Here is an 18,051-nt window from a genome sequence, read left to right as displayed (position 1 = left end):
CTTTATTCCCAAACTAATAATATGGTATTATGACATGGATTTCTAAGGAACTGGCTGTCTGGAATCTATGCTGAATAAATAATACATCATGGTCTACATTCGCTTCCTGAATACCAAATCAAAAATTGATGGATTAATGCTGTGAAAATTTATGGGAAAAGGATAATAACCCTTTAAGGTGAAACAGAATCGCACAATGGTCAATCTTGTGGCAAAGCCAGCCTATCTGTCATGTGAGCTCAAGGGGTGAATTAAGATACCCACAAATGAAACAAGAACAAACATATTTTTCAGGAGGTAGCCAAGAGTTTCTTATCTCTTTAAAATCATGGGGAACTTTATGTGGATTTTATCTTGAGACAACAATACATGAATTGTAGATTAGGATAAAAAAAATGGCAAGGTTTGGGTCTTACCGCCATAACTTGCTAAGAATCCCATTCCCCACAGTGTTTCTATAATAACATACAAGGCCAGGCCCATGGAGAAAGACAGCACTTACGTGGTGGAAACTGTTTTGCTTGGCAAAGAAAAGACTCTGCACATTCTGCTTTTTAGATATCATGTTTTTAAAAAACGAAGTTTGCATCTGTGAGAACAGAACAGAATAACACATTAAATAGACACAATTAAACCTTAATTATAAAATGGTAAACAGTGAAGTCTTTTAAAGTCTGGCAACTGAGAATAAACAAAAGAACTGCAGACAAAAAACAGAACTTGACATCATGAGGCATGAGCTCATTTCATACAGCTTATGTGTACATAATCCTATTCAGACAGCTGGGACTGCCTTCTATATAGAATTTTGACAAATGCTGGAATTTTGGCTTCAGTTTTAACTAAAGTTACATCTGATTAATGTGATAAAATTAATTTTTTAAAACCCACTTTTTCCTCACAAGGTAAAAGGATTCTTCAGCTCTTTGAAAGAAAATGGTTCTCAGCTCCGTTGTGTCCAACAGACAATTGAAACCATTGAAGAAAACATCGGTTGGATGGATAAGAATTTTGATAAAATCAGAGTGTGGCTGCAAAGTGAAAAGCTTGAACGTATGTAAAAATTCCTCCCTTGCCAGGTTCCTGTTATCTCTAATCACCAACATTTTGTTGAGTGTATTTTCAAACTAGAGATGGCTGTTTTGGCTCCAACTGGAGATACTTTTTTCCCTTCAACTCATTTTTTGACTATCCCTGTGAAAAGAATAGCTGTTAGTTTTTCATGAATGGGCTATCGCTACCATGTGTTTTGTTCATCACAGGTGTTGCCCTGCAACGTAAACCCAAGTGTTGGGTTCCCTGCCACAGAAGAATAAAGTACCTTATTCTTCTCATTTTATAGTTTATGCTTAAGCACCCGTGTCCAAAACCCTGTACCCCATGTTTATCATTCATAAACTGTTTCATCAGTCTCCTCGAAAGACTCTGAATAGTCGACTACTGAACAATGAACACCTGGATCTGAGACTAAGCCGGACGATGACTGGGTTAAAGCTCTCCCGGCTCACCCCTCCAGACCCGCTGCCCATCCCTCTTCCTTGCTCCATGCCCAGGGGCTGACTTGTAAAGGCCAAGTCATCAAGCTTTCTTGCCCTTTGGATGTTGGTCAGTGGGGAGCCGGAGAGCTGGAGCTGGGGTCGGAGGAGGTAGTAGGTGGAGGTGTTCTTCCCTGATTCCCTTGCGGGATGCCTCGGGCTGGCCTCCCCTGAGGGTCTTAGCTCCGAGAGGGGACCCTCTTTTCCACACAGCCTTCTCCACCTCTGGATTTTGGTAACTGCTCCCTCCTCATCCCTTCAGGATTAGTGGCCTCAGTGGGAGTCTGGCTTTTACTAGTCCTGGCGGACTTGTGGTTTCTACATAATGTGCTCGCACTTTTGCAAAAAATCTTTTTATAGAACCCTCCTCAGATAATTCTGAGTGAGTGTCATCTATTTCCCTGACTGGTACAGTATCTCTTCTGAAAAAGCAGAGTGCATTCAAGTCTGTAGGAAAACCCTTTTCTTAGGGAGGTGATTTTTTTTCTCTCTCTGCTTCTTATTTGGCCTACTTTACAATTTCTAACTAACTAGTTATTGGCATTTACTGACAGTAAATTATTGCAGTCACCAATAAATGATAGTACATTGTGAAACAAAATATTTGCTCATATTAGCAAATAGGACATTCTTTGGCTTTGAAGTCTTTCTTTCTTTTGTGAAGACTTCACACACGGTTGCTTCAGCACACAGTTGCTGCTCAGGTTTTATGTATAGATGATAATAATAGAAAGCACAGTTTACTAACATGGTAAACCAACGGAGTTCAAGTCAAGTCAGTTAATACCCTAAGAATTAGATTTTATTTCTTATTCTGAAAACTTGCTACACAGGGACTTATCTAACCCATAGTGTGCTCTGTTGCTGACTTGATTCAAGTTGCAGCGTGTTTTGCGCTGACTCTAAGGTGCGGAAATCCTCACACCTGGCAAAGGAGAATTCAAACTGAACTTTTTGAATATAAGGCAAAAACTTCAAGATAAGGGAATATGATTGATGATTGGTACGAAAAATGTCAAAATGTGTTCCCCTAATACACGACAAAATAGAGTGACTTCTGGACATAAATCTGCCATTTATTAAACCATTCACTACAACAAATAAATAGGTATAAAAGTGGAATTGGAATTTTTATACTTATTTGTTGTAGTGAATGGTTTAATAAAAATAGAAATCACTGGTAATTTCCACCCCAAACTAAACTATTTCCCTTCTTTTAAAAAAATACACAACCAAGATTTTAATGTAAAATATTTTGCTTTAATTGTATTTTATGCCTTGATTAATGAAACATGGAAATATTGATTTTCAGTTTTGGTCACCTGAGGAACCTATCTTTGTTTGCTTTTGGAAAAGCCCATTTTCTAAACAGATACAATATTGCCACAACAATGTGCAGAAACCTTTTTGATAATAAAAAATTGTTCTTTGCCTCTAAGTGGATATTTGCAATTATTTTCTCTCTCCTAACTAGACTGTAAAAAGGGCTGCTTTAGATCCTGTAGCTTACTCCAGTTATTAGTTATTAACAAACACCCAAGTCTCGAAGATATTTCTAATTAAAAAAGAAGGCATATTCAGAGTTCTTTTTAAATAAATGTTGTTTACTTTTATAGGCATCTTTAAACTTCTGGATTTTGGTATGCCATTTAAAAATACTTCCAGATACACATGGAAATTAGTAATACTGAAGCCGTATCCTTGCAAACACATCTGTCAGTGTCAAAGGTTTCAAGGTTTTTCTTAAAAAAAGAAAACAAAAAAGCAAACACCTATACTGCCCAAATGGGAGGATTAGATACATGGTTAGAAATCCCTCAGGAAAAGTGTTTTTTCTTTTCTTGTTGCTGCCTTAAAAATAGAATAATGACTATTTCTGATGGATAGAGACATAGCATTTTAAGCTGGTGGTGTGTAAAATCCCATAGGTATGTGCATGACTTTCAGAGAGTATTTGGGGGGGAGGTTAACAAGATGTGGTGCCATTTATAAGCAGTGTTATTGTTTTTGCTTGCCCCGCTGCCACAAGTCAGCTAAGTCATAACAAAAGCTTCAAACTGATGCTAAGGAAGGCCATGCCCTTTGGAAACAATAAATTCCCAATCTGTTTTATGTTATGTACCTGACATCTTTTCCTGCATTCTCTACCAGGAAATAAAGATGAAATTAAATATCAAAATTCTAATCGATGATATCAGTGCAATGTTCAGGAACTATTCATTAAGATATTAGAAAACCATTCAAAGTGGTAGGACATCAGAGCCTACTTCTTACATTGCTGTGGGAGAAATGCAGGTTTCAAATTTAATATATATATATAATTTTTTTAAAAGCAGAAGTTTCTTTTTATATTTGGTAAACTTAAGTTCCATAAAGCCAGACGCTATACAGTGCAAAGGCTAATGTGGCAATAGCTCTAAAGACACAGTTGCTGCTCAGGTTTTATGTATAGATAATAGAAAGCACAGTTTACTAACACAGTAAACCAACAGAGTTCAAGTCAGATGAGTACCCTAAGAATTAATTAGATTTTATTTCTTATGCTCGAAATTTGCTACACAAGGACTTATCTAACCTTTATTTTGCTCTGTTGCTGACTTGATTCAAGTCTCAGTGTGTTCTGTGCTGACTGTAAGATGCAGAAGTCCTCACACCTGGCAAAGAAGAGTTCAAACTGAAAAGGGGTTTGGTGCTTCCTGGTTTGTCCAGGTTACCTGTTATTAATTTATTATTAGCAGCCCAAGAGGAGATATGTGCCCAATGTACAATATCTTATGTTTGACTTATAAACATTATCCCAAAGCAACATCAAATACAGTTCAAAAGCCCAAGAGGAAAGGGGGTAATAAGAAATCAGAACACTGAAGAATGTTTAAAACATTGTTTTCTAAACACTAACAAAAAAAATTAAGGGCAAACTGAAAATACAAATGAGATTTACAGGCACTGTGTGTAGAATGTGCAAAAATTCACTTAGCTTTTCTTTTGTTTTTTTGGTGTTGCTTTAAGAAACTTTATCAAATATATTTCTTACAAATATAAAGCTTTCTCTCCCAATTGAAGGCAATTAAAAAAATTCAAAGTTTATCAATACTCAGTACACAGGTGAACCAGTCAAATTCATTTTCTTTCTGGAAAAGAATAACAAACCAATATTTAGGATGTTCAGAGACTCAACAAAAACCATTCTAGAAATCACCCAGAACAATTGTTTTCTGTTGCCAAAGCCTTTTGTTCTTCAAAAGTCACCATCCACCAGCTGAAGATTTTACATGCAGATACCTTAAAAATTTCAAATAAAAAATGCAGTGAATCATTTAATATGTAATTTTCTTGTTACAGACATAGTAAATATACCACTTAGCAAAAGCATTGTATAACAGACAGAAGGAATTTCCTATAAGTAAACATGAAAGTGGATTAATAGAATTTTTTTTAATTTTGGGAAAAATGTTAGAGCAGTTCTACCTAATATAGCTCCTTTTTTCCTAGGAAATAAACATGGATCATGGTGAGAGAGCTGAACCCGATTTAACCTATACTTTGATTTCTTTTAGGCTTTGGTCAGTAAGTGCTTGTATGCTTTTAAGGCTTACATTAAGCCCTCTCCTTTCTGAAGATTAAGATAAGGGCCCAGTTCTGAAGATCTCAGAAATCCCTTCAATCTGTCCAGTTTCTTCAGCAATTATAAATTAGAATCAAACACAGTACTTTACTTTCCAAAATAATGACAAATAAAAATGGCCAATCTTTTCCTTTGCCCTTGTTCCCAAAACCCTGTAATTTCCACCAGACTCTAAAGGGTACTTCTCCCCACCCCACCATGTATTGGTATTCTGGGGAATGCCAATGTCTTCAGGACATTTCGCTAAGTTGTAACATGCTAATTTTGCTTTGCCACAATAACCTGCAGTAATGAGCATTTGGATTTCAAAGATTCAACTAGCCTCAGATGGTCATTCTAAGTGCCTGGCCTAATATTTTTAAAAGCTTTTAATTATAAGATTAAGGTTTTTAAACATTTCAATAGCAAACTCATCCCATTTAGTGCTTTCAGAGAATGACCAATTACTCTGTAGATCTTGCAGTATGCATTTCATGCCAATACTGTAAAGTGAGCATGAATTACTCAAGAGGTGGACTTCACTTCTCTCATCTATAACACATAAATTGGCAGAAGATACAGTTGTCTTCATTTACAAATAAACACCCAACTTACCAGATACCTTAACTTGTATTTCTTTAGTCATCTTTTGGCTTGGAAGTTTCCTCTGTTGTCTAAAAGGGAAAGCAAAACCATCCGTGAGCTTTCTTTTCTGTATTAAGTATGAGGAGATGGCCTTCTCAGAATTAGGGGACAAAAGATGGCAGTCAGTGGGGAAAAATAAGATGGTCCTTTCAGTTTCTCTTCTTCATCTGGCCACAATATTGTGAGTTCTTCCTCCTCAAGCTTATAAGCTAAAAATAACCTTAAGTGATCCTGATCCTAAATGTATCACTCTCAGCTTTATTTTTTTAAGGCTAGGGTAGGTTATAAAATATGCATAGGTGTTCTTAAATGGCAATGTTTCATTCTGTGGTGATCCTTCCTTTCCTGTACATAGGGTCATGGCTGTCCAGTAAATCCACTCATCATAAAGGGTTATTATGCTTTCTATTATTTGTTAAAGGGCTGATTAAGTACTTCGTATAACTGAAATTAAATAATAGGCAAATAAGTATTTAAACTGAGATATAATGGCATAACTGCCAATTATCAATGCTGTTTCCTATATCCCTTAAGGGAATCTACTACAGGAAGATTTTAATATATTGTTTTAAAAGCTTTGGTGTAACTGGACTATTGTCTTTAAAGCTACACCTTTAACTCCTCCTTATAGCCAGGGGATCATAGTAATAATCATTTAAATCATATGTTCTTGGAATTGGAAGGGACCTAGAAGTTGTCTAATCCAATTTTCATTTCTCATCACAGCTTGAGTAATTTTAATAATAGGAAGTTTCCAACTTCCATGTTCTAAAATCTATATAAACCACATACTATGGTGGTATTTTAATTAGGGCAAGAAAGACAGGCAAAACACAGGCAAATTGGGTTGTGTCAAGAACATTCATTTAGGATTTTAAAGCACCAGTTACTTAAAAATATATGTATTTATACAAATTCAATTACTTTACCAAGCGATGCTATGGGATAGATAGTACTTTAAGAAATTTTATTCTAAATAGATTCCAGTAGGAAACTAAATGACTGAAATGATAAACCCTACTCTGTGTAACTGCTAAACTAATTTGTAGTATATTTACTGCTCCATTTACCTTTGCTGAATCCTTCGCTTTACCTCCATTCTTAGGTGCTTTGGAGCTGGAAGCAGCCTTCTTGCACTTATCCTAAAGCAAAGGAAATGTAATGAGGCTATGGCTATCACCAATCCATCTAGCAATTAACTAGGCTGCAGTTAAATTAATCCAGACCATTCTGAGATCTCCAATTTAATTAAATAATGGAAGACTTTGGGTGTTTTTTCATGATTTTTTTTGAACAACGGTGTCAGAGAATTGTTTAAAGCAGGAGGGAAAAAGGATAGAAATAAGGAGGGAAATGTGGGTGACATTGATGCTCTAATTCCCGTGGTGCCTGACTCACCCAGACCTTATTTTGCTAATCAAAACAGAGCTTGTCAATAGATAATAAATGTCGGCAAGGGTGTGGAGAAAAGGGAACCCTAGTACACTGTCAGTGGGGATGTAGATTGGTATGGGCTATGATGGAAAACAGTATATAGGTTCCTAAAGAAATTAAAAGTAGAACTACTGTATGACCCAGTAATCCCTCTTCTGGGTATATACCCAAAGGAGATGAAATTATCACCTTATAAAGATATCTGCACTCCCATATTCACTGCAACATTACTCACAATAGCCAAGATATGGAACAACCTAGTTGTTGATGAATGGATAAAGAAAATGTCATGTATATATACATAATGGAATATTATTCAGCCTTAAAAAACGATATCCTACTATTTGTCACAACATGGATGGACCTGGAAGACCTTATACTAGATGATATAAGCCAGACACAGAAAGAAAAGTGATTTCACTTATATGTAGAATATATATAAAAGAAAAAGCTCAAAAACACAGAGAATAAAACATGGCGACCATGGTAGGGAACAGGAGGAGGAAACAGAGATATAGGTCAAAGGATACAAAATAGCAGATATGCAGAATGAACAAGTGTAGAGAGTTAATGTATAACATGAGGACTAAGGTTAATAAAATTGTATTAGGGATTTTGTTAACTAAGTAGATTTTAGCTGCTTTTGTCACAAAAAGTAGTTGTGTGAGAATGATAGATATGTAAATCTGCTTCCCTACAGTAACCATTTTATTATTTCTATGCATCCCAAACTACCATGTTGTAAACCTCAAATATACACAATAAAATGTATTTAAAAAACAAAATAGAGCTTGTCTCGATCAGGACTGGCTTTTGTGTACCAAAAGGCAAAAAAAAAAAAACAAAAAAAAACCCTGTTTTCAGTGTTATGGGAGAGAAATGAACAATGGGAAACAACCGAGGAAAGCTGGAGCAGGTTACGTATAAAAATAAAGTCCATTCACCAAAAAAGGCATTACTTACGAGTTACCAGGGGTGAGAGATAGGATGCTGAAGTGGTCTAGAAATTAAGCTACCCAGTATGGAAGGGCTGACAATTCAGTGATCGAGAGCAGTGCCTTAGAACAGCCAAAACAATAGCAAACTGAGATCTGCAGAATTAACTCTCCTGAAAATAACAAGGAGGTACTCATTTCACGTTTCCTTCTATTTGATTTACAAGAGGGTGTAGCTTGAGGGAAAATGCCTCACACTTGTTGAATTACACAGTTGTTTCTCATTCACTTTTAATCACGTTTTGAGCACCTGCTAAGTACCAGGCATTTTGCTAATGAGGAGCACAGAGGTAAAAGACACATCACTACTGTATGAAATGCGTAGCTCAGTGGTGTGATACACAAGCACAGAGAGGTAACAGAGAGCAAGGAGGGCATGGAAGAGAGGCCTCTAACTTTGGACTGGGAAGGGAGAAGATGTAAGACAAGAAAGTCTTCCCTAAGGAGCTGATGCTTGAGCTGTGCCCTGAGGAATGAAGAGTAGACCAGTTGGGCTAAGCAGACAGAAAAGGGGAGGAAGCTCCAGAGAGCAAATGAGCATGAGAGTGCCTGATGTAGTTAGGGCCTGCTCTCACTTTAAATGAACACAGACATAGCATTATTGTGGCACAACCATATAGTGTGGAGATAAAAAATGGTGGCTATGGAAATTACAAAGTAGCAGTTAAGAAATAACGTTAAGCAGTGTTTTATAAGTGGACTGTAAGTATAATTATGTAAAATATACATATAGAAAAAAAAGGAAATCCACAAAATAATACTGTTTTGGGGGCAGTGGAATTATAGGCATTTTTTCTTTTCTTCATTTTCAGGTTCTCTATATCATCGTTTGATTCATTCTACAGTTTAAAAATTGTAAGGGCCAGGCGCAGTGGCTCAAGCCTGTAATCCCAGTACTTTGGGAGGTAGAGGTTGGCAGATCACTTGAGCCCAAGAGCTCGAGACCAGCCTGGCAACATGGCGAAACCCCCTCTCTACAAAAAAATACAAAAATTAGCTGGGTGTGGTGGTGCACGCCTGTAGTCCCAGCTACTCAGGAAGCTAAGGTAGGAGGATTGCTTGAGCCCAGGAAGCAGAGATCGCAGTAAGCTGAGATCACACCACTGCACTCCAGCCTGGGCTATAGAGTAAGACCCTGTTACAAGACAGACCGATAGATAGATCAATCAATAAATAAAACTTATATGTATGTACACATACACACACACACATTTCAAAGAGTGAAATGTGAAAAAGCACAGTACCTTTGCTGTGTTCTGTGAGGTTTCTGTAGTGGAGGGACAGCTGTCCAGATCTCCTGAGAGAGCATCAATGGGGTCTTGGTCATCTGCAGGTTTCTGAGATATGAGTAGAAATAACCATCAGTGAAGAAGCAGAAGGCAAAATGCAATATGGGGTCTTTTCCCACATCACTTACAAATAAAAGATGTTTCTATAAGAAAAAAACTGACTGACATTCTTTATTAATAATAATGTATTGTAAAGGAGATAGAAAAACAAGAAAATCTTGATGGCTTTTTTTCCATCTACTCTTTAATACACGTTGCTTAGCATTCTCTGAGCCTCAGTTTTCCACCCTAAAGGGCTTTTGTGAAGACTAAAAGAGAGGTAAACAATAGTCACACACATTTATATGCATGCTTTGACAAAGTACCAGGCACAGAGTAGGCATTCAATATGTTTTAGTTTTCTAAAATGCCAAATACCCCTATGGCTAGAATAAAACAAAATTTAATGGAAATATGTTCCTATGGTCTTTACCTTTGAATCCTCTGATTTCTTTGTAGGTGGCTTCACTGGTTTGTCCTTAAAAAGAAGGCAGACTATTGGTTAAGCATAGATATCTGTAAAGGTTTACTTAGGTTTAGGCAGTAGAGAATCTATTGTCCCATGACTTGACTTGGATAAAATGGAGTGTAGACTTGCAATAACTAATAAACCTGAGTCCCCACTATTTCTTTACCAGCTTTGCTTAATTACTATTCTTTATAATCATTTGTGTAGACTTGGGGGAAACATATGAAAGGGTCTGGTCCTGGAAGTGAAAGAAACACTATTTGTGAACCTTCTGCCATCATGTATTATCACTTATAATTCTACTTAAAGTGTTATAAAAAGTTACTTGTGTTTTTACATCTTATTTACTATAGCTTATTACACTTAGAAAGTCATCAGGGATTTTTCCCAGCTTCAAAGGCAAGGGCCTTAAATAATAAATTTCCCAAAGAACGCAAGCAGGGTGAGTTGGTACTATCAAAGTGGGAAGGGCTCTAGCAGGATGTGGAATTGCTATCTTGAGGAATACTGAATGCAAGCAAGGAGAATTGGTTCCTGTAATAGGAGACCCTGAAGCTGACACTGCTATTTAAACCAGGAATCATCTTACTCACCAAAATGAATCAGTACAGAAAGAGAAGGGTGTAATTTGGTCTTCCTTGTTTCTTATTTGATGAACAGGCATGGAAAGGGTTATTTATCATCTAATTGACTCAAAAATTAGAAACTAAATAGGAAAGAGGTGGGGGACAGGCCTGGTTGACCTACGAAAGACTGGCCTCTATCATGTGGGAGACAAAAGGCCAGGGACTTTTTGGCAGAGAAACAGGATTTGTGATTGGGAATATTGCTTTGCCTGTCTTCACTTGCAATAGTGCTGATGATGATGCAGGAGAAGATAGGGAGACCCCAGGTCTTGGAGCTGCCTTATTAATTTTCCCTATTAATTATCCCAACACCAGCTCCTTTTCTGCTCTCCTTAAACAGAGATTGCTTCCTTTGAAATCCTATCACCTTAGTCATTTTTATAGCCTTTTCTTGAAAGAGAGAATCACATTTCTTGGATCACTCTTAAGCATCTGTGAGTGACTGAACAGTATTCAACCCTGTTTATACCACAGAGCCTAGCATATGCATATATAATGATATTGGCTCAAATAAATATTTACCTGCTGGTCGGCTTTGGTGACACATTAGAAGCAGTCAGTCATGGTATGTTTTATGCTATTGTAAAGGAGTATAGCTACTATTTATTTCAAGGGAGGTTTGAATTTAAAGATCTTGGTAGCATAAATCCGATCTAGCAATTTGCCTCAGTTTACCTGTCCATTATCATCCAGGAGATGTCTGTATTCAGGTGGGATAGTGTCATCTCTTTCTCCAAGCTTGTCTCTATGTTCAGCTTTAGCTTTTTCCTATATCAACAGTGAGCAGATAGAATTAATATTCATTTCCTCTTTCACTTAGAAAATACATTGTCAAATGCAGCATTCAGCATTTGTTGTACTTTCATGAGGCAAAACATATGGTCTGTTTTTATTTTTTAAGCAACAGAACAACACAGATGACTTCAACAGACTGCTAGTTGGCTAAAATATAAAATCCCGTATGCTTCTGTATGTCAATTCATATCTGTGAATTTTCTAGCTATATTTTAAATGGAAATAAATGATTAAATAATTATCTTCAGAAACCATGTTAGGAGATTAGAACCCAAAGGTATAAAATATCTTTTTCTTTTTTTCTGTATGGTTTCACTTTTCTAATACAAAATCAGGCCACTGTACCTTGCCATTTAGAGAGGTCACATTTACAACTTTGCCTATTTATAAGCAACCCTGAAGGACAACAGCTAATTTGAATGGATGTGCTGACTGCTTGTGTTGCATGGGAGGAAGCCATGCATACCCCACACCTACCTCCCAGAATCCCCTCAGGGAGGCTCCGCTGGTATCTCTGTCACAGATTCAGTGACCTTCCCCTCCAGTGGAGTACAGATTGATTTTTCTATTTCATTATAATTTCATGTTTAAAATATAGGTTAAGTTCACATCAATATTCCTATGACAATGACAGAGTCAAGACCCAAGGATTAAAATTTCACTATTAGTGAATTTTTTTTTTTTTTTTTTTTTTTTTTACCTTTACTTTATCTTCCATTGGTTTGTTCTCATCTGGGTCAGGCTGCCTTTGTCCTAGACTGTCAGAGAGTTTATCCAAGGCATCATCGAGGTCTTTGTCACTCTGCTGAAAAGTAAATAATGCTGAATTAGTCACTCATTAGCCAAACTGTATCAGAGGCAAATTAGCCCAGGAACTCCATCTTTTCAGGAGGGAACCTGTTTCCTTGGAAGAAAAAGACATCTGGGGCTGGGGCAGGGGAGTAGACAGGGTCAGAGAAGAGAAGCCTAGGAATGGAAGATCAGGAGAAGAGCGGCAGTATCTGTCACCCTACTGGGGTTGGAGGGCCAGCACCTTCCACCCAACCCTGCCCATCTCTTGGTGAAGATCCCACCAGGTTAAGGAGGTCTTAGTGGCAGCCTCAGGAGCCATATCCAGTGGGTGACCTGGAGGTCACATAAAGGGTCCAAAAGCAAATGAACCAATCATGTGTGCCTTTCATTTAGAAATTAAACACCATTAGAAAACTGGATATGAAAACAAACATCTACTAATGTTGTCAGATGGTTAGGAAGCAAGATTCTGCAACTATAGAGGGTAAGTGTTTCTTTGGTTCTGTGGGTCCTCTCTAAAACTCTAAGATCTTGAGGGGTGCATTTCAGAAAGTGCAGCGTGACCCGCAGTTTGTGGGAAGCCATGGAGCTCGGCACTGCCATCCTAATACTTCCTAAAGCACAAAACCCCAGAGACAATCTGGGGTCAGGAGAGTGGAAGGGGCTTGTCTGCCACACTGGTGATGAGTGCCCTGAAAGACTTCAGAGAATTTCTGAACTGGTGGGGAAACCTCTCTTTTCATCTTCAGGAAGCTCATGGAAGTGAAATTGCAGAAATGGGAGCTGGTATTCTAGAGGAAAAAAATTATGGACAACAATATCACTGTAACTAAGATAGCTTATTTCCTCTAACATTTATTTACTGTATGATTCAGGCAGCTTATTTAACCCCTTTCAGCTTCAGTTTCCTTGGCCGTGAAATGTGAATAATAGTAGTACTTATACTCCTAAGTTGCTGAGAAAAGTAAATGATTGAAAAGGCATTTAAAACAATACTAGTTGTATGTTAGGACCCAACAAATGGTAAATTATTATTAGTATTATTATAGCAAAATCCATATTTTTCAACACATTGCATTCAAAATTCCACCTCTAAATGAATTCAATTAAAATGTGTTTAATATCTACATTGTATAAGACACCATGCTGAACTCTGTCCAATACTGTATAGAACTTTCCAGTTGATTTTCAAAATGTTTTCACATACACTATCCAGTTTTATTTGATGCCCACAATGGTTCTCAGTGAACTAAGCAGGCTTTTTTTTTTTGAGGTAAAAAGCTCAGGGAAGCTAAGTCAGTTGCTTGAAAACAAATTGTTAAAAAGTGAATAGAACCCAGGTCTTGGGACTGATAAAGCTTTTCCCTGTCATGCTTAGTCACATCCATGATCTTCTATTTTCTTTGAAGCAGTTTTCCTGTTGGAGTGATTTTATTACACAGATCTTTGAAATCATGTCTTCAAATGCTTTCAGTGTATGTAACACTGTTAGTAACAATCTAATAATCACAGCAAAGAAAGCTCCCGTGAATTATCATGGTTTATTTGACTCTTCGATTTCCTAATATTTTTATCTAAATAAAGCTTTATACCTTGTTTTAGTGACATCTTCAAATAAAATGTTAACTAAAAACAAGCCTCTCTGATGGGAAATGTGATCAGAGAAGTGTCATTGTAAAACCTACTTCTTAAAGGCAAAAAAGTTTTTGATTGCAAATGTTTACTGATAGCCTTCATCAGGGCAGAATCTCTGGCCTGAATATTAAGAACTGAAGTGTAAACGGCAGCCTAGGCTATTAATGATTCTTCCTTTCTGTTGCATGGGGACTTTCTTCATTGTGGGTGTGTTTACATACACACATGCACATGCACATGCACATACACACACACGGGGCATTTTACTGGTTTTAAGTGCTTTATTATAATCCAGGATTATAGCTGCTAATGGTAGAGCTGCCCGGGGCCAGGTCTGGGCTTTGTCATTTGTGCCTCTGGATATTTTCAGATGATCCTGAAGCTGACGCAACAGGATGAAAATCCATCAGAATCTCAGACTACAGCACTAAATATGCTTTGATGCTACATCAAACGGAATGGAAGCATAGCTGACTTCGCTAAAGTTACTTCATCTCCATCTAGCAAATGAGGCACTGTTCTCAACCAAAGGAGATGGGGATCTGGTTTAGGGCAATCCCTTTATAATTTGATGTGCTGTGGTCTCCTTGGTAATGTATAATTTGGTATTGCACAGGTGATTAGTCAAGGAAGTCTGGAAAAGCTTTGGTCCCACAGCCTTGCCTCACAGCATGTAAATAATTAAAACAATATTGATGCTGAGGTTCTTCTACTGCTAGTATGAAAGTGACAAATTTTTACTGGTGTGAATTGGGAAGAAAACAATGCTATTCCATGACGTTTGTAAAATGTTTGTAAAAGCTCAAACATGACGATTCCATAAAATAAACTTGAGGTTAAATAATGGGTAGTAAATTATAGAATGTATAAGAAAAAATATAAAGGAGAAAATCAATTATCAGGAAAGCTAAAGAACTTTTCAAATCTAGTAATTTGAATATAGACACAATGCACTTTATTGCACTTTCAATTCTTATAAAGCAACAATAATATTAAGGTCCTTGACTATGTGTACAATGTTTTCACATATATAGTTTCATTTAATCATTTCAAAGTTAATCTCTGCCATCTCGCTAAATCATCAGTCTCGGCTCTTCTGAAATAGAAGGTGCCTGATCTTCCTAATAATTCTGCCTATTTTCATTTGCTTTAAACAGGCGCCCTATTTTCTTTCTAGTTGTGGCTGCGCAAAAACATTTATCTCCCAAATAAGATGTGCTGCTTACCGAGGTATCACGGGGTGGGGCTCCAGCTTGGGTCGTTGAAGCTGGGGTTTGGGAAACCACTTCAGAGATGGCAGCAGCAAGTTTAGCATCTTCAAATTTCTTTTATTGAAAAAAATTTTATTAGTAACATGTTGTATATAAAATTATGAGCACAATGCCATCACTTAACTATAACTCTTAAAGATAGCTTAATGACTGTTTATTCTCTTGACCAAATAGACTCATAATAACATATAATTTTAAAAGAAATTTAAATTCTTTCTTCTCTATTGTATTATTTTATACAATTTGCTATTTCTATTTCCTTCTCATATTGATTATTCTAAATACTATGCAATAATATAACTTAGAGTTCCACGGTTTGTTTACACATTTCCTGTTGTACATTTAGGTTATTCAAAGTTTTCAGCTCTTTTAAAATTGCTCTGAATAAGTTCTAGTGAGTGAGTTATGGTGCTGGCTATATTTTGCTAAACTGCCCTCTCAAATGTTGCTAGGAATTCATACTGCGAAAAGCAATGAATAAGCATGCCTGTTTTCCCATGGCCTTGCTTGCCAGAATTTGACTTTTATTATGATAATCAGTGTAAAATGATATACTACTATTGCTTGTATATTGTGGTATACGGTGTCAGGTTTCAGGGTTTTTTTTCAACGTTAAATATTCTAGAAACTTTCTGAAATAATTTCTGTTTAAAAATATTGAATATTTGCTTCATTTCAAATACTCCCTTTTGACAAAAAAACTTAGGTATAACTGTTGATGAAAAACCAGAAAAAAGTCCAGAACTCTTTGGTGACTCCAACTATGGATAGCTTATTTTGAAAAAGGAGAATTGCAAATTTTACCAAAAGATGGAGAAAAGCACATTAAAAAGATACCAACATTCAGAAATTCATTTCAGCATGTTATTATTGGAAATTATTTAAACTAATTTAGATAACTATAAGATACTTATTGTCCATTTATACCCTGTAAAGCCGTTTTAGAATGTAATATTTTAGGTAATCCAAAATGTACTAAATTAAATTCATTTTTAGTTATGAGAAATCTTTGCTTATATGACAAATGAAAAGAATAACAAGTTGTCAAATGAAAAGAATGACATTGAAACATTTGTATTGTCTCTTCTTAAACTATCTTATTGACTTATTATTTAAGCCTTTTAATACTAAGTATGAAACAACCTATGGTCTGGAAATTTGTATCGCAAAGCTATATGTGCATATGTTATTTAATTCATCTAATGCTACACAAAAGCATAAAATAATGATTTTTCACTCTCTTTAAAAATACTAAATCATTTATGTCCATTTCTCAATTTTTTCATTGATCTATGCTTTGAGTTTGCTTTCTCAACATTATTGTATTTTCCACTTATTATTACTGTATAACATATGCTAGTGTTTAGTTGGATTAATCTTACCTAAAAGTACTGAAAAATGCTTTTTAGTACTTTTTCATATTTTATACATTTATTTTCCGAATGTATCATTGAATAATTTTATTGAGTTATAAAAGTATCTTATTGCTATTTAATAAAAAATTAACACATAAAATGACTTGAATTGTCATCATTCTTTTTAAGATATTTAGTTAAACTGACTTAATGTATGGCCTTCAATTTTTTTGTGTCCTTATTTTTCTGATCATTTCTCCTTTTATAGTTTACATTAAGTCTGATCTCATATTAATTACATTTTCTCATCTGTTGTTACTAATAAACATGGCATAATGTTACTTACAAATGTATTATCTACAAGTAGTGCTATCCACAAATATATTCAAATGTTCCCTTTTAATGTTTGTCATTTTTTTCATGTGTTGTTAATGATTCTTCCATGTGATAATAAGCAGAAATGACAATAAACTTTTCATAGTTTCTGCTTTTAAGGAAAATGCCTCCAGCATGATATTGAATATTTGATTCTGAAAACTAAAGACTCTTTAACAGATTAGGGGATTGCCTACTTTTTAAAAAGTTTTTATTTATAATATGAGTATATGTAAAATTTTAAATAGATCTTTTACATGGACATGATTATTTGTTTCTATTTGATATACCACTACAATATATTGACAGTTTTCCTGCTACTGAATCAATACTTATAATGGCAAATAATTTAACTGTTTGTTATATTCTATGTATGCTGTATGTAATTTTTACATCTACACATTTAAGTAACTTTAGCTGATACCGTTATATTTGTCAGATTTTAAGATTAGCACCATAATTACTCATAGAAGCAACTATGTGACCCCATCTTTTTCATGACATATTTATGCCACATAAGAACTGAGTGTTCAACAGTTAGAGTCATCTTTAAACCTTCAGTAGAAGGACAGTTTGAAAATCATTGCAATATTTTCTTCAGTCTTTTTTTAGGTTTTGTGAATTACGCAGTTTAATATTTTTGTTTAATCTTAGAAAATTGTTGTACATAGTGTTTCCTAATAATTTATTTGTGCTCTGTACTGATTATTGTATTTTCTCACATTTATGTTAAATTTTATTAGTAAGATTATTTTCTCTATTTATCAGTTTTGTAAAATGTTAAAAATTCATAAAAGCCAACTGACTATTGGCTTTAAACTACCAATAATTTAGTTGATCTCTATATTATTATATTACTCTGTTAAAATTTAATTGTATTTTTTGTAAGGTTTTTTTTCCTCTTTTATATTTGCTAGTATTTTATAAAGTATTTGTTATTTCAAAAGAAACAACTATTGGCCAGTTAACTTTCATGCCGCTATTTTCATTTCCTGGTATGCTTATTGCTACTTTGTTTTTGGTGGCTACCTTATTAAAACTTTTAGAAATTTCAGTTTAAAATTCAATAAGCATTTAGTTTATCAGGTTTCTCTTTTTCTCTTTCTCTACTATTGATAAAGGTGTTTATGACAATGTATCACAGGAATACTGCTTTGACTGCTTCTCAAAGACTTTTTCTTGTAATATCTTT

General features: G+C 35.5%; 2 protein-coding genes across 51 annotated transcripts in view; one reads left to right on the top strand and one right to left on the bottom strand.

The window, feature by feature from the left end:
- The window catches only part of ERAP1 (endoplasmic reticulum aminopeptidase 1), a 175,042-nt gene extending 158,398 nt beyond the window's left edge, over positions 1–16,644 (top strand). For 9 of the 17 annotated variants that reach the window (XM_017009581.2, XM_011543485.3, XM_011543484.3 and 6 more), the window contains 2 exons: positions 906–1,053; positions 9,026–9,659. In XM_017009581.2, coding sequence (XP_016865070.1) covers positions 906–1,053; positions 9,026–9,063 — 186 coding nt within the window. In that variant the 3' untranslated portion in view covers positions 9,064–9,659. Of the gene's footprint in view, positions 1–905; positions 2,974–9,025; positions 9,660–14,228 lie in introns of those variants that run through there. The other 8 variants (XM_047417310.1, XM_047417309.1, XM_047417308.1 and 5 more) reach the window with 2 other exon arrangements.
- CAST (calpastatin) overlaps positions 2,774–18,051 on the bottom strand; it is an 813,255-nt gene continuing 797,977 nt past the window's right edge. For 28 of the 34 annotated variants that reach the window (NM_001423254.1, NM_001423253.1, NM_001423255.1 and 25 more), the window contains 8 exons: positions 15,085–15,183; positions 12,132–12,236; positions 11,312–11,404; positions 9,975–10,019; positions 9,458–9,550; positions 6,855–6,926; positions 5,755–5,813; positions 2,774–4,817 (listed from right to left, as the gene is read on the bottom strand). In NM_001423254.1, the coding sequence (NP_001410183.1) occupies positions 5,778–5,813; positions 6,855–6,926; positions 9,458–9,550; positions 9,975–10,019; positions 11,312–11,404; positions 12,132–12,236; positions 15,085–15,183 (543 nt within the window). In that variant the 3' untranslated portion in view covers positions 2,774–4,817; positions 5,755–5,777. The remainder of the gene's footprint in view (positions 4,818–5,754; positions 5,814–6,854; positions 6,927–9,457; positions 9,551–9,974; positions 10,020–11,311; positions 11,405–12,131; positions 12,237–15,084; positions 15,184–18,051) is intronic. The other 6 variants (NM_001423259.1, NM_001330627.2, NM_001330632.2 and 3 more) reach the window with 2 other exon arrangements.

This window comes from Homo sapiens, chromosome 5, assembly GCF_000001405.40.
Source record: "Homo sapiens chromosome 5, GRCh38.p14 Primary Assembly".
NCBI lineage: Eukaryota > Metazoa > Chordata > Mammalia > Primates > Hominidae > Homo > Homo sapiens.
Note: the sequence above shows the minus strand (reverse complement) of the source record. Positions and strands in the feature narration are given on the sequence as shown.